The sequence below is a fragment of the Homo sapiens genome, chromosome 14 (assembly GCF_000001405.40).
Source record: "Homo sapiens chromosome 14, GRCh38.p14 Primary Assembly".
NCBI classification, from domain to species: domain Eukaryota; kingdom Metazoa; phylum Chordata; class Mammalia; order Primates; family Hominidae; genus Homo; species Homo sapiens.
In genome coordinates, this window is record NC_000014.9 from 104,080,385 (window position 1) to 104,103,926 (window position 23,542).

At 61.9% G+C, this 23,542-nt stretch overlaps 2 protein-coding genes across 18 annotated transcripts in view; both read left to right on the forward strand.

Moving 5' to 3' along the window:
- Positions 1 to 468: 468 nt before the first annotated feature.
- LOC124903408 (uncharacterized) lies at positions 469 to 3,311 on the forward strand. The gene is made up of 2 exons (XM_047432050.1): positions 469 to 1,244; positions 2,476 to 3,311. Exons 1-2 carry the CDS (start codon positions 469 to 471, stop codon positions 2,549 to 2,551), a joined length of 852 nt encoding a protein of 283 aa, XP_047288006.1. The 3' UTR covers positions 2,552 to 3,311.
- Positions 3,312 to 5,315: 2,004 nt separating this feature from the next.
- Positions 5,316 to 23,542, forward strand: part of ASPG (asparaginase) — a 29,883-nt gene continuing 11,656 nt past the window's right edge. For 11 of the 17 annotated variants that reach the window (XM_017021267.2, XM_017021273.2, XM_017021276.2 and 8 more), the window contains exons 1-5: positions 12,364 to 13,218; positions 15,147 to 15,272; positions 17,170 to 17,253; positions 18,469 to 18,595; positions 23,179 to 23,291. In XM_017021267.2, coding sequence (XP_016876756.1) covers positions 12,832 to 13,218; positions 15,147 to 15,272; positions 17,170 to 17,253; positions 18,469 to 18,595; positions 23,179 to 23,291 — 837 coding nt within the window. In that variant the 5' untranslated portion in view covers positions 12,364 to 12,831. The other 6 variants (NM_001080464.3, XM_047431356.1, XM_005267590.5 and 3 more) reach the window with 2 other exon arrangements.

Sequence of the window (23,542 nt, forward strand, 5' to 3'; positions counted from 1 at the left end):
CGTATGCTTCTTGGCCAAGTGTATATCATCTTTGGAGAAATGTCTGTTCAAGTCCTTTGCCCTTATTTATTTATGAGACGGGCTCGGTCTATTACCAGGCTGGAGTGCAGTGGTGCGATCATAGCTCATAGAGTGACCCTTCAGTGCTTTCCCACACTCCCCTGGGGTCCAACCTTCTGCCGAAGATGCCCCAGCTCTCTGCAGTTCCCTGCCCAGGCCCCAAGACTCCTTTCCCTGTCGGAAAGTTTCTTAGGCTTCCTCTCTCTGGGGTCCCCACACACCTCTGTTCCCCTCCAGCACACTGGCCCAGGCCGGGCCAGCCTGCTTCAACACAGTGTCAGGAACTCCTGTGGTGTCCACAAGCCCAGTGCCAGCGCTTGCCTGCCGTGGGACGCACTGTGTGCCTCAGGCCCCTCACTCGCCAAATAGGACAGTTATCCTCTGCCTCGGTGTGGTCACAGGGGTGAAATGTGCCTGGATTTGCAGGGTGGCTGCAACAGCGCCTGGCCCATAGGCAGTACCATGAAGACTCACAGTGTAGGGCAACAGACGACGCCTGAGCGGCTGAAGAAGGTGGGCTCCCAGGGCCTCCCTGCCCAGGCCTGCTGCCACGGCCAGAACCCAGGGGGGCACCGTGTACCTCGCCAGTGGCCTCAGCACTGCGCCTTGCCTCCAGGAGTCTTGGCTTGTTTGTGTGGAGCTGGGGACTGGGAGAGCAGAGCTTGTGACCTGAGGCCCCCCAGCCTCAGGGTGGAGGTGACCACCCTGGACCAAGGCCTGCCCCAGTTAGTGGCTGAGGACAGACAGGAGTACGTGTGGCATTCCTGCGGCCCCTTGCTCGGCACCCAGGCACTTCCTCCTGCCCCTCTGCCTCTGGAAGGCCAGCCATGGCATGGCCACGGGGGCCTGCCACCTGGCACCTCCCCAACACAATACATAAATGAGTGGGTGTGGCTGTTCCAAGAAAACTGTGTTTACACACACAGGTGCGCCAGGCCTGGCCGTCGAGCCCTGGTTTGCCGGCCTTTGTTCGAGACCAGTGGTTCCCAAATGTGCACCTGTATCAGCATCACCCAGAGCGGGGTCAGAGTCTGGACTCCTGGGCCCCACGCGGAGTTGTTGTCAGGGGCCTGGGCTTTGCATTTCCACAGGTTCCAGGTGCTGCTGCTGGAGCGGAGGCCACGCTCTGAGCACCCTGCTCTAGAAGAAGAGATGCAGAAAAGACAGGCAGGGCTGCAGAAAAGGTAGGCAGGGCTGTAGGGTGGTCCGGACCACCGGGCACTGTCAAATGGCAGATGTCCCTCCGCTCTGCTCTGGGTGGGGCTGGGGCCGGAGTGGATTTTATAAACACTCTGGGAGGGTCCCACCCAGAACTCTCCTGCGCTGTGTGGAAGGAGGGCCACTGGGGAGGGTGTAGATGGGAAGTGAGAGAGAAGAGGGGACGAGGAGACCCCTGGGTGGCCAAGGAAACACTTTTCTGAACAATCAAAAATAAAGGAGGGGCAGGCAGAACGTGGGGACTTGGCTGGGGCTGCCTAGGTTCCCTGGACTCACCTCCTGGCACTACACTGCCTGGGGAGCCAGGGGGCCAGGAGCCAGGGAGCGACTGGCACACCCCACACCTTCCTAACCCAGCCCCTGGTGGGGAGCCCTTCCTTCAGCAGCAGGCAGCACAGCGATGGCCAAGTGTCCCTCCAGGGGGACAGACGTTTGCCCCTCCACGCCACTCACCCGGGGTGAGGCCGCAGCACCCTCCACCTTGCTCCACCGTGGCCAGCTTCTGGCCTCCCCTCACCAAGCCCCGGGACTTCACGTGAAGATCACTTACTGGCCTTCTCCCCTCGCGGTCCTGGGTTCTCTCCTCCTCCTGGCCTCTGAGGCCAGAATGCTGAGGCTCAGACTAGGGCCTTTGTCTCTGCTGACACCTCGCTGCTGTCACGACTTTGTGGTCCCTGTGCCACTGACTGCAGGACGCGCAGCTGAGTCTCCTTGGACCTGCCCAGGTGGCCCCCAAGCAGGATGTGTCCAACACACCTTGCTTCCCTCTGCCTGGCCCCAGGCCCCACTCTGGCCCCTGCTTTCTCAGTAAGGACATCCCCACTCCGTGGCTGCTCTGGCCAAAGACAGGAGAGTCACCCTTTCTCTTCGGCGCGTACCCCTCAAGCTCCAGCTTGTGCTCCCAGCACTCCCACCTTGCACTTCCCCATCCCCAGCTCCTCCCCACCCTGCCCAAAGCCCTCCTGAACCCATTCTTGTCTCAGTCTCCGCACATAGCAGCCAGAGATTAAAACAAACCAGCCCAACCCTCGGTGGGGCTGGTGTTCACCTTTGGGGTTAAATTGAAAGTCCTTGCGTGGCACCACAGTCACTCAGCGGGCATCCCCTCCCTCTGAGTGCTCTCGCCCCACTGACCTGGGCACTGTGGGGCCATGCTCACTCCTGCCTCGGGCCTCAGCACCTGTCCCTTCCTGGCAGCCTGTCCCGCCTGGCATGCTGGCTTTGCTCCAATGCCAACCCTTCGGAGAGGCCTTCCCTGGCCACCCTGTTGTAAACAGCACTGCCTGTCTCCGTGTTCCCTGAGTGTTCCTCCAGGCACTGTCACTGCCAGACGCTGGTATTTTTGTCTACTATGGCCCCCACCCTGGCTGGTACACTCAGAAGGACGGGCTGCGTCCCCTGTGCCTAGAGAGGCATCTGGCACAGAGCCAGCCTTCAACATATATTGCATGAAAGATTCCGTCCAAGGACGCTGTAGATGTAGGTGGACGCAGACAAAAGCAAAGCAGGACAGTGGATTCGTCCAAAGACCGGCAGTGTCTTCAGGTGAAGCTGCAGCGTCGAGTCCTGGTGCTTGCAAGGTTTCAGCAGCAGAAACCTGATGGGGCTCCTTGCACCTGGGAGAAAAGCCACTCCAGTGAGGATTATTGCCAGTGAAGGCTGCCCTGGCCCCAGACAAGTTTTCCTAGAATTTATGGTAGCAGGCGGGTTGTTAAAGGATGATTCCCGAAAGGGCCAGACATGGTGCTCACAGGGATGCAGGGTGAGCATGCGTCGAAGAGCTTCCCTAGCCCAGGCAGCTGTGAGGACCAGCTCAGAAGAGAAGTCCTGAAACAGACACTTACAGATGAGGAATATTGACATGATTGTGCAAATGGACCTGAAACTGGATTTTCAGGGGGCTGTGATGGGCTGGATTGTCTCCCTTAGATTCTAATGTTCAAGTCCCCCACACCCCAGTGTCTTAGAATGCAACTGTATTTGGAGGTAGACTTTAAAGAGATGGTTGAATTAAAATGAGGCCCCAAATTCAATCTGACTGGTATGTCTATAAAAAGAGAAAGTCTGGACATCTGGAGATACATCAGGGATGCGTGACTGCTCAGAGGAAAGACCCTGTGAGGCACAGCAAGAAGGCACCATCTGCTTGCCCAGGAGACACCAACCTGTGACACCCTGACCTTAGACTTCCACCCCCAAGAACTGTGAGAGGTAGACCTCCTTGCACTGTAAATCACTCGTTCTGTTACTGCAGTCCCAGAAAACTAACACAGACCTTTGCTGGGCAGAATGCCTTTGCTTCTCTGCAGACAAGATTACTTTTGCACTATTGCACTGTTGTTATCAAAATAATTATATGGGGCTGGGCATGGCGGCTCACACCTGTAATCCCAACACTTAGGGAGGCTGAGGTGGGTGGAGTACCTGAGGTCAGGAGTTCAAGACCAGCCTGGCCAACATGGTGAAACCCCGTCTCTACTAAAAATACAAAAAAAAAAAAAGAAAAAAAAATTAGCCTGGTGTGGTGTGCACCTGCAATCCCAGCTATTCGGGGAGGGGGCTGAGACAAGACAATTGCTTGAACCTGGGAGGCACAGGTTGCAGTGAGCCAAGATCTTGCTACTGCCCTCCAGGCAACAGAATAATAATAATTTTTATTATGGAATCAGTGTCAAATGCTGGTGCCTTCTGGGGGCAACACACAGTTTCCCACCAAAGTGCATCAGTGCCCCAGGCAGTCAAGGTGCCAGGAGACGAGGAGGCCGCGGATCTTCTGTCCACCTGGGAGCAAGCCTGCAGCTTGGGACCCTCCTGGGACCCTGCACCCGCCAGTGCCCTGCCCTCCTGGGCTCTCATGGGAGTGAAGGAGGGTGGGCTCTGTAGGAGTTAAAGAAAGAGGAAAGAAACATGAAAAGCGGCTCAACAAAGGCAGGTTTATTTTGGAGAATAAACCTGAAAGGGACTTCTGGCCGATTTTGGTCAGGAGCCATCTCTCCTACAGACTAAGGATCTTTAAGGGTTTAGGAAGTGGGGAGCTTATCGCAGGCTCGGAATGTTTCTATGTGAGGGAAAGTTTATTGCGGGCTTGGAATGTCTCTGGTCGGAGGGGAGGTTATCTCGAGGTTGGCATGTTTCTGATTGGAGATGTTATTTGTGGTTTACGGTCGTGCTGACATTAGCTATTGGGCTGATGTGTTTTGGGCTGGATTTAGGCAGCTTTTTAATCAAAGGGAACCTAAAATGGCGGTGTTTGTCCAAGAAGGCCATACTCCTGCTCTGTCCCGCTCCAGCCCTTGGGGGCCCCTCGGGCTCTTCTCTTGGATGGTGTGTGAATGGGCACATGTGGAGGGGCTGGTCCAGCTCTGCCTGCCTCTGGCCATCCAAAGGAGGGACAGCAGGGCCTGGGCAGCAATGCCGGCCTTGGAGCCCCGGGGCTGTGGAGGCTGCTTGACAGGACACGGAGCCCCCTCTGTGCTCAGGTCGTGGAGGGCCTCGGGCACTACGGTCTGCCAGGCACCACATGTCACAGCTACTCAAACACCCAGGGCCGCCACGGAGGGCCAATGGCCGCAGGATGGCTCAGGACCCGCCCCACCCCTGTCGCTGCCTTTCTGGCTGCCCCCTAGTCCCTGGACAGGCGCTCCCCAGCCCCAAGCAGGCCCCAGCCAATCTCCTGCCCAGGCAGGAGCTCCCCCTGCCGCCCTCACAGACCTCACCTCTTCCTACACGTTTCCAAGGCCGCGCCCCGCCCCGCACCCCGCCAGGCCCCGCCCCGCACCCCGCCAGGCCCCGCCCCGCACCCCGCCAGGCCCCGCCCCGCACCCCGCCAGGCCCCGCCCCCACCCCGCCAGGCCCCGCCTCTCTCTCCGACCCTGGACAGTCCCCGGGACCCACCCCGCCCCCAGGTCCTGCCCCCGCCCGCCTCCGCGGGGCCTCCCACCCTCCCGGGCAGACTCCACTCCCGCCCCCTCCCCGTGGGTGCCCCCGCCGGCCCCGCCCTCCCAGGCTGCCCCCGGCGCCCCGGGCCTCCTCCGCGCAGTCCCTGAGTCCCGCAGGCCCTGCGTCCCCGCTGCACACCCCCGTCCACTCCCGTGGTCCCCGGTCCGGCATGGCGCGCGCGGTGGGGCCCGAGCGGAGGCTGCTGGCCGTCTACACCGGCGGCACCATTGGCATGCGGAGTGAGCTCGGCGGTGAGTCCGAGACCCTGGGCGGGGTAGGCCTCTGGACCTGGCCGCGACCGGGAGCCTCGGACCCTCCTGCACCCACGGGGGTCGTTGGGGAGTCAAATCCGCGCCTGGATGGGGGGTGCGGGCTGAGGTCGCTCTCCTCCGGTTCCGGCCACCGGCGTCCCCACGCATGGAGCCCCGACCTGGACAGAGGAGATTGCGGTGGGTTCTCGCCGTCGCGGTGCTCCCGGGAGCGCCCTGCGACCCTGGGGCCAGGCCCCCTGTGCTGCCGCTGCGCCCCTGAGGGCCAGCGTCCTGAAGTCCTGGAATATGGGGCGGGAGGGCCCCAGGGCATTGGCCTGCCGCTCCTGCTCTGGACACAGAAGGCTTAGGAGGCTGCCCTGGAGAAGGCTTAGGAGGCTGCGAGGACCCCTCAACTGCGACACCCAGGAGGGTGTCCCCGTCCCCTGGGGTCCTGGTCAGGCAGCAGTGGTTGGCACGATACTGGGGCTACCTGGCATCTGCGGGGACGCACGTGTTCACACCCGAGGTGGCCTCAGAGCCCTGCTTCCTCTGCCCCTGTGTGGACCTGGTTGACCAGAGACCAGCGATTGCGTCTGGACTGAGTTCTGCCTGGGTGGGGTCAGGGCCTGGGACAGGCACCGAGCTCTGTGGTACTCCAGCACAGTGCTGCCAGCCTGGGCTGGGCACAGGAAGGATGGTAGCTTGGGGAGCCTGAGGCCACCGGGATGGGGAGAGGACGGTTGCACTGGAGCCTCCAGAATGCCTGGGTGTTCCCCAGGAGGGCAGGACACTGCCTGGGGCCCCCAGATGGGCTCTGCTGTGATGTGGGGCCTCCCTTGGGGCCAGGACAGCCCCCTCGCCCCGTCTTGAACCTGTTTGCGACCCTCCATGGGCCACTGCCTGCCTTTCCCTCAGGAGCCCTTTCCACTCCTCCTCCTCCCACTCCCTGCTGCCCTGGCCCCTCCCCACACTCCTGCTTGTGTCCAGCGCAGCTCTCTCTCCTGGGACGGCTGGGACCCTCTCCGGCTCTGCCAGAGCCCAGGGCCTCCCCTGGCATGACCAGAACATTCTCTTGTCCCTTGCCCATCTGCCAACCACTTCCCCGCCCCTCCTATCCCCACCCCCTCTCACGGCCTGTTCCCTGGCAGCTGCCCCTCCTGGCCACCCCTTTCTGCTGAAGTGGCTGCTCAGAAGCCACCAGCACTCTGTCGGTGCTCTCAGATTCCACCCACCACACTGTGGCCGGTGCAGACCCCTCTGGAGGCCCACTCTGCGCCCAGCCCAGGAGACAAAGCCTAGTGGGGCTCGTCCACGAGGGACTCAGGTCCCCAAGAACGTGGCTGTCCAGGCTGCCGGGAGCCTCCTCTGCACTTCTCCTTCTGCCTGTGAATGGAACAAAGTCATTCACAGCTTGGCAAACGCCCCTGTGTGACACTCCACTGACACAGAGTGACACAATTCCTGTGCTTGGCCCTCACAAGCTAGAGAGAGAGGCTGCCATTGAAGGGATGGCATGCATTAAGGAGCTAGTCCCAGGGGCAGGATCTGCCAGGGCCCTGTAGGGGCTGTGGGCTGATAACAGGGTCTGAGCTGGGTGTGTGGATGGTGTGGAGTTTGGAGGCAGCCCAGGGAGGGCTTCTCTGAGGACACAAGGCCTGCAGGACAAAGATGGGAGAGGGCCAGGCCAGGAGCAGCCCTGCAAGGTGCAGGAAAGAGGAGTGGGGAGCCCAGCAGGGCCGGAGCCTGCCAGAGCTGCCCCCGAGTGGGGACAGGACCTGGGGACTCTGTGTGGGGCCTCGTCCGACGCCCCTGACGCTACCCCTTCAGGCTTGGAGTGTGGCCAACTGCAGTTTCGTTGAGCTCAACATGTAGTTCTTGAGTGGTCCGAGCTGCAGGGGCAGGTGGACTCTGTAACCCCACCACACACCCGTCTCGCTTGGCCCCCGCGTGCTCGCCGCAGCAGCCTGTGGGTGCACTCACACGCGTGCACCGCATTTCTGAAAGAGGCTGTGAGGTCCTGTGTCTGGGTGGGAAACAAGAGACTTGGAGGCTGGAAATTGGGTGTGGGGCGTCAGTCTTCAGACCTGAAGCAGCCTTCTGAGATCCCTTGGTGCTCTGTGCACTGGGGTCCTGGCTTCTGCTCAGCAGCCCGTCCTCGTGTGGCTGCGAGGTCACCCCCAGCTGTTGCTAGCTGACCCATGTGGGGCATCCACTTCCAGGAACCTGCAGGAATGGGCTCCCCCAACCCCTCGTGAGGTTGGAGCAGCCAGACTGTCAGGCGTCAATGATTTACTCCCTCCACACTGCTGACGTGGGCTCTGGCCTTCCCTGGGGAGGTGAGAGGGGAGTGGTGGCTTTGCCCTAGTAAAGCTGTTTGATTGTCGCTGTTGGAACGGCTTCTGCGCCTGCTGGTAAACAGTGACCTGTGGGTGGAACGCTGCACACCTGGAGCCCTGCCAGAGTTCAGGGAGGGCAGAGGTGATGCCAGTGGGGACGCCCCTTGACCCATCCCTTCTCTGAGTTCATTGAAGCTATCACAGGTCAAGGGGCATAGCGAATCCAAACACGGCTGATAACCCCAAGCCCAAGCTGGCATCAGTGGCCACGTTCTGTACACCCGAGAAACTTGAAGACTTCCTATGTCAAACTGGGAACCCCACCTGCTTGCCGGCCTGTCCCAAAGTCCCTCCTGAGCCCGGCTCCTTGCAGGCACAGCAGGGAGGGCAGAGATCTGGGGCCAGGCAGCTGAGAGAAGCTCCCTGCCCGGTGACCACACGGGTCCCAGCAGTCGAGAGTGTCAGTGGAGTGATGCCCATGGCTTCTTGGTTACTGCAGTGGCGTCTGTGCCCTTGGCCTGGACCTCCTTCCTGAATGGGTGCTACACGTTCACAAGTTTCTAAGCCTAAGCTTGACTTCGCTGGTGACAGTGGGGCCCATTGTCTTAGAGAGCAAAGCCTCCTTTCCAGGTGTTTGGCAGGGGGCTGAGGAGTTTCCAAGTCACCAGCAAACTCAGGCACCTGCCTGGATGGGCCAAGGAAGAGGTTCCAGGCAGGGCTGGAGGGTTCAGATTCTGCAGCCCTTGAAGCTTTTGGAGGGCCCTCATTGAGAAAAGTAATACAAGTTACAAAATCATAGTTAGGTGTGAAAGCCGGTGTTTGTTTATTTTTTATTTATTTTTATTTTTTTGAGATGGAGTCTCACTCTGTCGCCCAGACTGGAGTGCAGTGGCGCGATCTCAGCTCACTGCAAGCTCTGCCTCCCGGGTTCACACCATTCTCCTGCCTCAGCCTCCCGAGTAGCTGGGACTACAGGCGCCCGCCACCGTGCCCGGCTGAAAGCTGGTGTTTATTTAAAATAACAAAAGAAATTGCCCCAGCTGACTGGGCGCGGTGGCTCACACCTGTAATCCCAGCACTTTGGGAGGCTGAGGTGGGTGGATCACTTGAGATCGGGAGTTCAAGACCAGCCATGGACAACATGGTGAAACCCTGTCTCTACTAAAAATACAAAAAAAAAATTAGCCAGATGTGGTGGCAGATGCCTGTGGTCCCAGCTACTGGGGAGGCTGAGGCATGAGAATCGCTTGAACCCAGGAGGTGGAGGTTGCAGTGAGCCGAGATCTCGCCACTGCACTCCAGCCTGAGTGACAGAGTGAGACCCTGTCTCAAACAAACAAAAAAAACTGATGCCACTACATACCTGTTAGAATGGCTGCTGACGTACAACACATTGACTGCGGGGTGAGTGCTGGAGCCCCAGAGTTGGAAAGTGGTCCACTCGCAGGTTGGTAAGAAAACTTTACTGGCGACAGTATAGGTTTGAAAAAGGAACGTTTGGCCAGACATGGTGGCTCAGGCCTGTAATTCCAACACTTTGGGAGGCCAAGGCGGGTGGTTCACTTGCCTTGCTAACATGGCGAAACCCCGTCTCTACTAAAAATAAAAAATTAGCTAGGTGTGGTGGTGCATGCCTGTAATCCCGGCTACTCGGGAGGCTAAGGCAGGAGAATTGCTTGAGCCGGGTGGGTGGAGGTTGCAGTGAGTCGAGATGGCATCACTGTACTCCAGCCTGGGCAACAGAGTGAGACTCTGCCTCAAAAAAAAAAAAAAAAAAAAAAAAAAAGGAAGAAAGGAGAAGAAAAAGAAAAAAGAAAGAAATTGGCCAGGCTGGTTTTGAACTCCTGGGCTCAAATGATCTTCCTGCATCAGCCTCCCAAAATTCTGGGATTACAGGTGTGAGCCATAAAAACCACTGCAAAAGCACATATGGAGTGTTTTGCTTGAGAGAAGAGGACACCAAGAGAGTTTAGTCTTGTCTTTGGCTGATTTCGCCTGTGGTGCCCACACATGCCCCCAGCAGGGACAGCAGGGCCCATATCCACGCCTACCACTCTGCAGCATTCCTGGAAGTTTCTGGAAGCTGTTCCCCCACATGAGTCAGCAGCAGCTGGAGGTGACCTTGCACAACGTGAGCATGTCCCACAAAACCAAACCAGATATGCCCCCTCCACCTTTCCCATAAGGCACCCCAGCTTCACCCGCCGTGATGAGTGGAGAGTGACTTTTTGTTTCCTGTGGCCACTGTGCCGGGCGGCTGAACATCACAGAAGTTCGTTCTGGGTTCTGGAGGCCGAGGCCTGAGAGGGGTTTCCCCGGGCTGAGCCAAGGTGCTGCAGGGCACCGCTCCGTCCTGACGCTCTGCGGGAGGAGCCACCCCTGCCACCTCCAGTGTCTGGTGGCTGCTGCAATCCTTGGCTTGTGGCCGCATCACTCCAGTCATCCAGGCCAGCATCTCCAAGGGCCGCTCTGCCCTGTCGTCATATGGCCTTCCCCTCCCCGTGCCCTGTGGCCTTCCACCTGTGAGGAAACACGAGAGGGCGTTTAGGGCCCACCTGGATTGTCCAGGGCCACCTCCCGCCCCATGACCCCTAATATCACATCCGTAAAGACACTTCCATATGAAGTGACACCCACAGGTACCGGGGATTGGGATGTGGACATCTTTTTAATTTTTATGTATTTATTTAATTTTTTGAGACAGTCTCATTCTGTCACCCAGGCTGGAGTGCAGTGGTGCGATCTTGGCTCACTGCAACCTCCGCCTGCCAGATTCAAGTGATTCTCCCGCCTCAACCTCCCAAGTAGCTGGGATTACAGGCACCTGCCATCATGACCAGTTAATTTTTGTATTATTCGTAAAGACAGGGTTTCACCATGTTGACCAGGCTGGTCTTGAATTCCAGACCTCAAGCAATCTGACACCTCGGCCACCCAAAGTGCTGGGATTCCAGGCCTGAGGCACTGCGCCCGGCCCTGGGATGCGGACATCTAGGATGCTTTTTCAACCCACCATACATGAGACAGGGACACTTGGACACCGGTGTGGGGTGGACCCTGAGCCCCCTGGATGCCCAGGGTCTGAGGTTGGGTCCTTGGGGTTCACAAGGCTGGTGAATCCAGACCTTTGTTCCGGCAGCCCGTGTCCTGGCTGTGCTCTGGGCGCCTCGGAGGGCAGACGGGCAGACAAACATGTGCGGGCTCCGCCTCCCCCGTCTGCTGGCTGAGCCCTACTGGCGGGGTGATTTTGTCAGCGGCTGCACCTCAGCCGGCCTGCATCTTCCAGTCCTCTGGCAAACGTCCCCGGGGCTCCACAGGCCTTTGTGTAAGGCCAGAGGAGGATCACGGGTGCCATAAACCTTCACGGGGCCAAGGGCTGGTGTCCCGGGGCTGGTGACTTAACAGGCAGAGATGTGGAGACCAGGGTGAGCCCAGCAGTGGAGGGCGATGTCAGGGAGGGGTGCGGCTGGAGGGATATTAGAGGGGGCTGCTTTAACTTGCCAAGTTTGGGGTTAATTTGTGAGCCAGTGATAGGCGATGGGTACAGCTGCAGAGGGCGAGGGGGGAAAGCAGGTGACCATGGCTGGGATCTGCAGGATAGGATGGGGCATTGCTGCTGGGGGAGGGAAGGGAGGGCCGGGAGGGAGCTTTGGGACTTGCTGGAGGCCCTGGAGGGGTGGCTGAGGGGTCAGGGCTTTATACTGAGCAGCTGGCCCCAGGGAATGAGTGGTGTGGCCAGGTCTCCATTTAAGGGACAGAACTGAGATGCAGAGGCTGCAGGAAGGTGGCAGAGTTGCTGGGGGTGGGACCAGCCCGTCTGTGCACTTGCTGTGTGCTAGGCCCTCCAGGTCGGGGAGCTGGGGAAGGGGACCTGGGCTGGACCCTGAGGGAGTCACACAGTCCGTGCCCTTTGGGAGCTCGAGGGCCAGTGAGGGAGAATGTGGGAATAGCACTACAGCCTGGGCATCTGGGAGGGCTTCCTGGGGGTGGTGTCCCAATCTGGGCCTTGAGGCACCTACTGGGTGAGAAGTGGGGACGAGGCAGGACTTCCAGGCAGAGCCCACAGTATATCCACAGTGAGGCAAAGGCTGAGCCCCGTGGGCCTTGGTGGGGAGTGTGGACTAAGCATTTGGAGAAGGAGGTGGGAGCAGGGGCAGGGCCTGGGTGGAGCAGCTAGAGACCTGGGCAGAGCTCCTGGGGCCGTCCAGGTGCGAAATGAGGAATCACCACGGGCTCCAAGGCAGGAAGCCATGGCTTCCAAACGCGGGTCAGCCGCCTGCCCTCTGAGGGGTCCCAGGGGCAGCCATAGCCCTTCCTCCCAGCCTCTGACTGTCATAAGACCGGAGCCCCATCCCACCAGCTCTGGTCCTGCCCCTCAGTGAGGGAGGAGGCGGCCATGGCTGTCAGCCCCTGACCCCAGCATCCACCTGGACTCTGCCTGCAGTGCTTGTGCCCGGGACGGGCCTGGCTGCCATCCTGAGGACACTGCCCATGTTCCATGACGAGGAGCACGCCCGAGCCCGCGGCCTCTCTGAGGACACCCTGGTGCTACCGTGAGTGTGGGCTCCTCCCAGTCCCGGACAGGGCATGGCTGCTGAGGGGCACCGATCCTGAGGCTGGGCACTGCTGGCCAGGCCCACGTGAGCCATTTGCTCACCCCTGTCTCTAACATCCCCTCAGCTTACAGGGCTTTAGGACTGACCAGCAGTCGCCTTCCACCAGAGCCTGAACCTCTGAGGGTGCCCCGTGCCTGGTCCCACCTTCCCTCCCCACCCTCCTCCCACACCCCCAGCCAGGCTGCTTCGGCAAGTGTGATGAGGGCGCCCCGTCTAGGGATCCTGTATATCAGGAGCCAGCTGGCCCAGGTGGCCTTGCCCCCAGCATAGAGGTCCTTCCATTTCTCAGCTCTGGGCCCAGCTCCCTGATGTCCCCCACAGCTGGGGGTGAGCTGGGAGTTGCCCTCGTGGTGGCTGACCACCACAGCCGCCACAGGCGAGCCTCCTGCAAGCATCCTCTCCTGCCTGGGGATGGCTGGTCCCAGCCCCCCTCTTCGAGCTGGTGTGGGAAGAAGACTGCTGGGAGTGGCCCATCCTGACCTACGTCCTTGCCTCTGTGGGGAGCTCCAGGTGGAAGGGGGGCCGGGCCCCGTACCTGGGATGCTGAGAACTTGCTATGTGCGGAGCCCTTGGCGTAGGGGCCCCAGCTCTGCCAGAGGGGAACAGAGCGGGTCAGGGCATTTAGAGCAGGAGGAGGTGCAGAGCGGGAGCCTGCTGTTCCGCCTCCTGCTGTTTCTGTCCCGCAGCCCGGCCAGCCGCAACCAGAGGATTCTCTACACCGTGCTGGAGTGCCAGCCCCTCTTCGACTCCAGTGACATGACCATCGCTGAGTGGGTTTGCCTTGCCCAGACCATCAAGGTAGTGGGGCTGGGGAATGCTGGGTGGGGCTGTGGTGTGTGGGTGGGGCTGAGGTGTGTGGGTGGGGCTGTGGTGTGTGGGTGGGGCTGTGGAGAGTGGGCAGGGCTGTTGGGTGTGAGTGGGGCTAGGGAGCACGGGTGGGAATGGGGAGTGTGGGTGGGGCTTGGAGTGTGGGCGGGGCTGTGGAGTGTGGGTGGGGCTGTGGAGAGTGGGTGAGGCTGTGGAGTGTGGGTGGGGCTGTGGGTGTGGGGTGGGCTGTGTTGTGTGGGCAGGGCTGTGTTTTGTGGGTGGGGCTGTGTTGTGAGTGGGGCTGTAGGGTGTGGGTGGGGCTATGAGTGTGGGCGGGGCTGTGGGTATGGGCGGGGCTGGTGGATGGGCAGTGGCCGGCAGAAACACTCTGGGACGGGTGAGGAGCTGCAGGGTCTGGGGTGGAGTCGGCCTGCCCAGCCTGGGGCCTGGGAGCATCTGGGAATGGCAGCTTCAGGAAAGGGCAGGGTCCACGTGTCAGAGCTGCGGGCAAGGCTCTGAGTTCCTCTCCCCCATGCAAGCTGGGGGTGGGCGTATAGGGCCAAGTCGACTTCCCAGATGAGGACACAACGGGAACAGTTGTCTTAGCCTGTCCCAGTTAGTATCTGGGGCGCGGTGTGTGGTGTGTGATGCTACCTCGAGGGCCAGCAAGCTCCTTGTGCGTGGCTGGTGACCTGCTCACTGCCCTCTGTCCGTCCCCGCCCAGTTGGAGTCTTAGTGGATTTAGTGGAGTCTTGGTTGGAGTCTTAGTGGACCACAGCACCTCTCAAAGACTCTTGTGGTTTACAGCGACCTGTGTGCTCCCCCTGCAGGCAGAACCACCCCCCGCCCCATCAGCTTTTCTTCTCCCTTCTCCCCCATCACAACACGCTCCCATGTTACCGGAGCTGCCTCCCCTAGTAGGGGGCCTCCTGCCCGCTCCAGTCCCAATTCTCACCTGCTTCCCTTACGAACCCCCTGCTCCCCTGAGTGGGAACATCTAGGCTTCCCCTTCCCAGCAGCAGGGTGGCAGGCAGCACCACCCAGGACAGGACCCTCCATTTGTAGCCGGCAGCCCTCACCGGGCAAGGCGTGACTGCTTTTTGAGGCCCACGAAGCTGCCCTGCGGTCCTTGCTGCAGGGAGCAGCCCTGGGCAGCCTCACAAAGGCCTTCTCGGCTCAGGTGGCCCAGCCTGCCGTCTTGCCGCGAGTGGCCAGCAGAGGGCGCCCTTCCCCTCCTTGGCCTCCGCTCCTCTGCAGTTCCCAGGCCTACGGGGCTTGGTCTTTTAATGGCCCCCCGGGCAGGCCCAGGCTTCGTATGGAGCCCTGGGCTCTCGGAACGGTGCCCTGGCAGCCGCAGCCTGGGCCAGCCACCCTCCAGGGGGTGGTGGCCGGAGGACGTCCCTGCATGGCCAGCTTCACTGCTGCCCTTCGGTGTCCTGCCCGGCCGCCCAGGTCCAGATCCAGGCAACCTCCAGGATCACCTGCTGGTTCCCGGCCATGGCTGTGCCTTGACCCTGCAGGCGTCCTTGTGCCCACCGTTGTGTTCTTGCCTGACCCGCGGTCTGGGCTTCGAGGCTCGTGCACCACCACAGCCCCCTGCTGCCATGGAGAGGCGCTCTCCCGCCCTTGGGGAGTGTGCAGAGGCCCCTTGGAGGGACTCATTCTCGAGTGCTCTGAGGGGAGCCTCAGCGTGGTGGGTGCACCCGAGTGGCATGGAAGCCTCGGGGCAGGGAGAGCGTGGGAGTCCCAGGACTCCACGCCAGGGGCTAATCTTCCAGAGAGGGACTTCCAGGCCAGGGTCCCACGGGTGCCTCCCCTGAGTCCTCCTCTCTGCATCCGGACCCTTTCCCCCATGCTGCAACCTCCCCCACACCTGCTTGCGAGGGGCTGGCCTGCCTGAGCATGCGCCCCTCCTGCAGAGGCACTACGAGCAGTACCACGGCTTTGTGGTCATCCACGGCACCGACACCATGGCCTTTGCTGCCTCGATGCTGTCCTTCATGCTGGAGAACCTGCAGAAGACTGTCATCCTCACTGGGGCCCAGGTAATCCCAGGGGCCCGGGGCTCCTAGGAACAGGGGCTTCCTGAGGCCACAGGGCAAGTCAGCGCTGTGGGCGGCCGCTGCGGGACCCCGGGCTTCCTGCTCAGCCCAGCAGCTCCTGAGGTGGCTGCTGCAGGGCCCGTGCTGGGGCTCGCAAATGCTCAGGTCCTGCCCGGGTGCCAGCACCACCTGCCCCGCAGGAGGGGGGTCATCTCCTGCTGGTGGCCCTGGGAGCTGTGAGGCCCTGGAGCACCCAGAGCCAGGCCCACCTCGGCCCTGGGGGTGCCAGGCATCCCTTCCTCTCCTCCCGATGCTTCCTTGCGGCTGCTGCCCACCTCTCCATCTGGCGCATCAGGGTGGCCGCGCACAGAGCCGCACCAGGAGGCCCCGGCCATGTCCCTGCCTTTGTCCCTCTCTTTGCTCCGCCCACTGTGGGTCTAGGCGATGCCATCCTGGGGGCCCTGGCACACGATTTCCCTGCCTCTCTCACCCTAACCCAGCACAAATCCCATAAGCCAAGGCCAGTAGAGTGTTCTGGAAAACTGGATTTGAGGGGATGTGGCAGGGGAGGTTGGCTAGAAGCTGACTAGGGGTCCATGTTGCCTGCGGGTGGCAGTGGGCACCTGAACCCCTTGGGATCCTTTCCCACGGCTGAGGCTAAGGTCTTGTATGGGAAACCGGTACCTGTGTCCCTTTGAGCTTGGTGGCAGTTCCAGAAAGCTCCATGGAGGCCCTCTTAGGAGGTCTGCGGGGAGCAGTCCGGGGAGGTGGCTCAGCCACCCCACTCTGCTTGCCTGGCGCCGTCTCCCTTGTCCCTCCAGAGTCTCCCCAGGGCCCACTGCACACACCTGTTAGCGGTGGAGCAGTGCCTCCCGCCCCAGAACTCGAGAAGGAGGGACAGGGCTCCAGCTGGTTCTCCTCTTCCCAGACCTTCCCGAGCCCTGGGGGAGCAGAACATCCCGTGGACCTCTCTAGGGGATCAAGGGCACAGTTATGAGCACCGCAGGACCCACGAACGTTCACATGCATGTTGTCCTCACTCTGATGTTGGCCTGTGCCGGGACATCCTTATCCCTGTTATACCTGTGGGGAAACTGAGGCTTACAGGCTAGGGGCTCACCCACAGCCACGTACCACGTGAGGGCTGAGCCAGGGAGCACCCAGGACCCAGGACTGCCACCCCCTGCCAGGGCTCTCTCCCTCCAGAGCCTCTGACTGACCACTTCCCGGCCGCCTCCTCCTGAAAACCCTGGCCTCTGCACCGCCACCTGCGCCCTCCTGGGACGCGCTGTTCAGTCAACCATAGCACAGTCGCCCATGCTAGACACAGGCAGCTGTGGGAGGAGCTGTACTGTGCCTGGCATCCCGAGGCAGTTCCTTTCTGTCACAGCCCACCCACCCCTCACCCCCACCACCCTCCTTCCAGCCCATAGTTCTGCTGGGGTAGCGAGGGAGCTGGGCAGGGCAGCTGCGGTGGGAGGCCTGTGATGCGTTCTCCAGTATGGGGACCGGCTGGCCCCTGCTGCCAGCACTGGGCTCTTGGACCTGTAGAGGGAGCTGGTGGGTGGGTTGAGGCCCTGGGTGCAGGCTGGCATGGTCTGCAGCCACAGCTGTTGGTGGGTGGGTTGAGGCCCTGGGTGCAGGCTGGCATCGTCTGCAGGGACAGCTGTTGTTGGCGGCCTTGGAGACAGGCTTACTGCCCAGCTCCTCTGAGTGCCCCGTTCCCCCAAGGCACCCATCTCCAGGCTGCCTGCTGCAGTCCAAGCCCGCCTGTCCTTCTCTTTCCCACACCCGCCTGGGGCTCCTGGGCTGGGCCTGGGGGTTTACCTGGAGAGATGAGCCAGACATCCCAGGCTTCTGGGCTTCCCAGGCCTCAGCTACTCCGTGGCCTCTCCCCCAGGTGCCCATCCATGCCCTGTGGAGCGACGGCCGTGAGAACCTGCTGGGGGCACTGCTCATGGCTGGCCAGTATGTGATCCCAGAGGTACCTGCCTGGTGCACGTGGAGGCGGGGCAGGTGGGGTGGGGGCAGGAGCCCAGACAGCAGCCAGGAAACAAAGTCCCCCCAGCCCCTCCCCAGACGCCACTGCCAATAGCTGGGTGCACTGTCTTCTAGATCTTATGTTGTGGATATTTACATTAGAGGTACGTATGGAAGTTCTACGTTAGAGATACGTATGGAGGTTCTGCGTTAGAGATGCATATGGAGGTTCTACGTTAGAGATACGTATGGAGGTTCTGCGTTAGAGATGCGTATGGAGGTTCTGCGTTAGAGATGCGTATGGAGGTTCTGTGTTAGAGATGCGTATGGAGGTTCTGCGTTAGAGATGCGTATGGAGGTTCTGCGTTAGAGATGCGTATGGAGGTTCTGCGTTAGAGATGCGTATGGAGGTTTTGCGTTAGAGATGCGTATGGAGGTTTTGCGTTAGAGATGCGTATGGAGGTTCTGCGTTAGAGATGCGTATGGAGGTTCTCCGTTAGAGATACGTATGGAGGTTCTGCGTTAGAGATACGTATGGAGGTTCTGCGTTAGAGATGCGTATGGAGGTTTTACGTTAGAGATACGTATGGAGGTTTTACATTAGAGATAGGTATGGAAGTTTCTATAAAAACAGGTTGCAGCCAGCAGGGCTCTGAAGGGTGTCACTTTCCCTCCCCCATGTCTTTCCCTGTTTCCTGTGGCGTCCCAGGAAGGAGTGTGCAAAGATCTCCCCCACCCTGGGGCAGTGGCTTTACCCAAGGCTCTTGAGCAGCTTGACTAGAGCCCCCACACGGGCTCCTGAGCAGGGGCCTCAGGGACTCCCATTCACCGTGGGCAGGGGCCTCCAGCAGCTGTGCTCGCTGCACCTTTGGGATGAGTTCCCAGGGCTCTGTAAGAAGCAGGGTTGGGGGCAGTGGGCAGGTGGGAAGGGAAGGAAGTACGGTACCCTCCTGCCACCCAGCCACTTGCACGCCCCAGGCCCTGGGGTCCCCAGGCCCCTGCAGGCTCCGGTTAGCCCACGGGTAGGTGGCAGGGCAGGAAAGGGCCCGAGAGGGGCAGTACCTGCTCCCAGGAAGGTCTCTGCCTGCGGTGGGTGGGGTTACAGTCCCACCTCCCCCTGGGTCTGGGCACCTCATTGATGGCAGGGAGGAAGCTGGAGGGCAGATGGGTCGGGGACAGGGTGGCCGCTGCTCTGAACTCTGTCGCTCCGTTCCCGCAGGTCTGCCTTTTCTTCCAGAATCAGCTGTTTCGGGGCAACCGGGCAACCAAGGTAGACGCTCGGAGGTTCGCAGCTTTCTGCTCCCCGAACCTGCTGCCTCTGGCCACAGTGGGTGCTGACATCACAAGTAAGCCCCGCAGGAGCAGGGCCAGGTGCCTGCCCAGTGCTGGTGCTGGGCGAGGGGCTGCTGCAGGGAGCTCGTGGCTGGGACTCGGCAGAGTTTGAGAGCACCATGCTTGGTTCTGACTTGCCCTGGCTTGGTTCTGCCCTGGGCTGTGGAGAAGCCAGGGCTGCGTGGACAGGGCTGCTGCGTGGCCACAGAGGTGGGGGCCTCCTCAGGTCCCTGCAGGCTCAGAGGCGGGAGGCCTGGAAGAGAGGTTTGGGGCATCTGGCCCTCATGTGTCCTGCCCAACCACTCGCCCCAGGCCTAGGAGGTCCCCAGTGACCACCTGGCTCTGCCACACCTCTGTGTGCCGTAGCCTCGTCCCCAGGAGTTTCAGGGAGTCTTTCTGTCCTCTGGTTCCGGCGGGCAGCCCAGCCATCCTTGTGGGGCTGACTCGAGCGATCCTGTGTCCTGAGGCTTCCCCCTGGGGGGGCCAAGCCCGCCCCCTGGCCCTGGCTGTAGGAGCAGCCTTGGAGCTTGTTCTCAGAGACTGGTGCCCTGCCAGGCCTCACCTGAGACGCAGGGCCACTCCAGTGGCCTGCCCGGAAGTCACTCCCTGGCCTACCGTCGCTCCGTCTGGGGTGTGCTCCTGCTGAGGGAGCCCCTGCTTCCTGGACTCTACCCGGCCCCTGCCTGTTCCAGGTCCACGGCCAGCATGGCCAGTCCTGACCCCACGCCAGCACCCCTCCCTGAGGCAGCGGGAGCATCCCCTCCCTCCTGGGAGATGCATCCTGCCTGCCCTGGCCCCCTGCTGTTTCAAGGCAGCCCCAAACCTGCCCTGTGTCTCATCCTGACTGACTGAGGTGGGGTCCAGCCCCGGGGAGGCTCCAGGGCTTGGCAGCACTGGCCTTCCTTTGGGGGCATTTGACACCTCACCCGGGGCTGGGTGGGGCTGCCTGCCCAGGACCAAAGCAGCTGTTCCTGTCTGGGCGGGTGGGGTGGAGGCGCCCCCTCACCCACACTGGGCTTCTGTCCAGGCCTGGGCCATGGCGGGCTGGTGGGTCAAGCCCACAAGGTCACTGGACGCCTGGGGAGGCCCTTCCTAGGGAATCTCCCGGTGCGGCAGAGGCTCCCCACTCCCCCATTTTAAGGAGGAGCAGACCCTCCTGGAGAAAGGGTTGGGCTATGGGCTGCTGGGGCACAGCTTCCTGGAAGAATCCCCAGACACAGGCAAGGACCCTGGGGAGCTTCAGGGCCTGGCATGAGGGGGCCCTGGGAAGGGTCTGGCAGGGCAGGGGCCTTCCTGGAGCATCTACCAGAAGTCGGGGGACAGGAGGGGCTCTGGGCATGTCTGGCTGTGGGGCCGTCAGCAGAAGCGGGTGGAGGCAGCGTCTTTGGATCTCAAGACAAGGCCTGTGTGTGGGAGTCCGGGCTCGGTGGCTGACTTGCTTGTTGCCCCAGGGCCCCTCAGCAGGACAGGACAGAGGAAACTGCCTGGTTCTACAGGTGAGAAACGGAGGCAGAGAGAGGCAGGCTCCCACAGGGAGGCACCGACTCAAGCCTGTGCGCTGTCTCCTGTCCTGGGCTCACACCCCGTCCCTTCTTCCTGCTGTTCCCTCCTGTCCTGGGCTCACACCCTGTCCCTTCTTCCTGCTGCTCCCTGGAGCACCTTCTAGGGAGTGTGAGGCCCAGAACACATCAGTGTGTCTACTGTGTGTGCAGCACACCGGGTCTCAGGGGCTTGGGCAGGGGCCCACTTGCTCACCGAGGGCCAGGGCAGCCCTCAAGGCTTCTTGGAGGAGGTGGCTTGTGAGCTGGTGCTGGTAGGGTACTGGCTTGCTTGCCCATGCTGGATGCTGGCACTCGGCCCCTCCAGCCCAGGGAGAAGGAGCAGCAAGAGGTGTGGGTGGTGCCCTGCAGGCCCGGCTCCCCCATGGGGCCTGATTCACACCTTATCTGGGGCTCAGGAGTGGAGCTTCTGCTGGTGGGTGGACCCCGCCCCAACAGTGCACAGAGGACCGTGCTCTGGATTCCAGGGACTCCGCCAGCACCGGGTGCTAAGCCCGGGCAGGCCACGAGGCTCAAGACACACCGGCCTCAGGCCCAGGGCCGTGGGGCAGCTCCTGGGCGCAGCACTAAGGCTGGTCTGGGTGGGAGGCTGCCCTGGCCCCAGCCCCCCACCCCTGAGTGTTTCCCACGTGCGTGTGGGTGTGGGAAACTGATGCCGGGCTGCCGGGCCGGTTCTGGCACCCAGTGTTGAGAAACCTCAGGCCTTGCCCAGGGCGTGGCTGCTGGGGCCCCTGGGGAGGGGCACAGGTTGGCAGTGTGCACCCTCAGCCTCTCTGAGCCAGCTGGGGGTAGCAATGCCGGCCTGGGCCCGGGTGCCAGCTGCCAGCACCCTGTCGAGGGCTTGTCCTGGGCTTTTTACCCACTGTCTGGGAAGTGAGGGGCTGGGCTGGTCCGGGAGTCATGGGCGGGCTTGGTGCTCCTGTCCACAGTCGGCTCGGCGCCAAGGGGTGGGGGGATGCGTGGGAGGCTGGAGGAGGCCCTGCTGGCCCTGTCCTTTCCATGTGTCTCAGGAGACCACACTGTCACCCCCAGGCAAATCCTGCACCCTTACCCTTCTGTGCTGAGCCCTGACCCCGGCCCACTCTGCTGGGGCCCTTGGAGCAGAGGAGGGTGGAGAAGGGGATATGGCTGTGGGGTCAGGCCAGGCCTGTCACTCACCAGCCATGGGTCCTTACGCTGGGTCACCCCAAAGCAGAGCCCCAGAGCCCTCCTCTGTGCACTGGGAGAAGCCACCTCCCTCCCAGACGTGACCCAGCCACCCCAGCTGTGCCGCATCCAGCTTTGAGGCCGCAGACTACACCCTTCGGCTCCTGTGCTGAGCTCCCGTATCTGTAGAACAGGGCCATAGCCCCTCTTGGGGGTAAGGGGCTGAGCCTGCAGGCCTCACCTGGCCATGGAGCCACCAGCGCTCCTCTCTGCCCCCGGGTGTGGGGTCACGATTCCCCTGGCCTCTAGCAGGCCTGGGCAGGAAGGACTGGGATCCCAAGGGTGGCATCCACAGACTCTCAGGAGGCGGGAGGTCAGTGCGGGGTGGGTGTGGGCCCTCTTTGTCTCTGTGTAGCCCCCTCTCAGCCATAACTCTTTGCCAGTGGCAGCGGTGCCCCCTCCTTTCCTGTGCTGATGCCTTATCTGCTTGTCCGGCTGAGACACACGCCCTCAGTTAAAGGGCATCTCACGCTGCCATCATGTGGGGCTGACTGATGCTGTGGGCTCTGGTGGGGGTGGAAGACTCACTGCTGGGGGCTCCGCTCCCCCCTCTCTCATCCCCAGCACCCCACATCTCCCCCCTTCAGCTCCACCATGCCAGGAAAGTCCTTTTTATCGCATGCAAGCTGCTCTAGCGGAAGCGGCCGGAGACATGTGGGTGACATCTCCCTGTGGGCAGGAGGAAGAGCCCTGTGCGGGGGTCCTCCTGCCCAGGTTCCTGTCCCAGCACCGTGCCGGGCTCTCCAGGCGCCCAGGCCCTTCCCCACCCCTGGGCCTCGGTTTTCCTGGGCTGGGCTCTCCAGCCTCCAGGGTGTTTACTGCCCTGGGCAGCTCTGACACCTCACAGTGTGGTGGGAGTCCCCAGTGTCCAGCCCTGCTCTGCTGGAGGCTGCCATGAGTGTGGAGAGGGGCAGAGGGAATGGACCTCAGCCTTGGCGCTGGCCTCTGAGGGTTTGGGGGCCGGGCCTGTGGCATCAGCCTCCCACCCCCACCCACATGGAGCGGGAAAGTCGGCAGAACCCTGGGGGCTCAATTGCTGCCAGAGTGGCGGCCTTCAGCTCGAGGACAAGCATGTCCTCTGGGGAGCCCCTCTGCATGGACGGGTTCAAGGGGCACTGACCCCAAATAGCCATCCCTCCCCACTTCACCTGGGGCCTGCACCTCCACCATCACCCACCCTGGGTGTGGGGAGGGGGTGATGGGCACACATTAGGATTTTGGGGTGAACTGGATGGAGGCCTTCTCTCCCCAGAGGTGAGGGGTCCGAAAGTCCATTTGTTCGCTCATTCAACCACTGACCCGGTGGGCAGTGGGCACAGTGGGTGCCTGGCAAGGGGCAGAGGAGGCTGGCTGGTTCGACGATGCTGCCCCATGCCTGTAACCCAGCGCAGTGACTGCTGGTGGCTCCCCAGCTGGGCATGCCTGCCCTCCTCGCCTCTGCGCTCGCCTGACGCCCCCATGCGGCCTGCAAGACACAGCCGGGCCTCCATCTCTGCAGGACCCTCCTGCCCCTCGCCTGGCCAGCGGAGTTTCCCTGGGCTTCACCCTTGAGACTGTGTTGCCCATTGCTCGGCCATCGGTCTCTCGCTGGCCAACGAGTGCCTCCTCCCACAGCCCCGTGCACGCTGCGGAGCCTGGCACAGGCCGGACTGCGCGGAAGCCCGGGAGGATTTGCCTGCGGGAGAGGAGGCAGGGCGAGGGGGCTGAGCCGCGAAGGCTCAGGGCTCTGAAAACAAGGGAGGAGGCGGCCTGTGCAGAGGGCCAGGCACTGGGCTGGGGTCTCGGCTGGCAGGAGGCCTGAAGGCACCACACAGGCCCTTCCCTGTCCTCAGTCAACAGGGAGCTGGTGCGGAAGGTGGACGGGAAGGCTGGGCTGGTGGTGCACAGCAGCATGGAGCAGGACGTGGGCCTGCTGCGCCTCTACCCTGGGATCCCTGCCGCCCTGGTAGGGACCGCCCCGGCCATCCTGCCCCTGCAGCCCTGAGCCCCAGCCCTCTGCAGCTCCCACGGCCCTCAGGCTCCCTGGGGCCCTCACCAGCCAGTGCAGACCCCGCGTGGACCTGAGATGTCTGCAGTGTGGCCCCACCAGCCCCAGGCCCTGTCCCCTGTCCTCCGTCGTGGTGCTTTCCAGCCTCTCGGGGAGTGGGCAGGGTTGGGGCGCGGCTCACAGCCAGAACGGGGTCCTCCATGCTTTTC

Excerpts from the sequence above, each read along its gene's own strand:
- LOC124903408 (XM_047432050.1), top strand. The coding sequence starts at position 469 with ATGTGCCTGGATTTGCAGGGTGGCTGCAACAGCGCCTGGCCCATAGGC. Across the intron at positions 1,245-2,475 it reads CAGGCAGGGCTGCAGAAAAG|CCTGTCCCGCCTGGCATGCT; the intron begins GTAGGCAGGGCT and ends CCTTCCTGGCAG.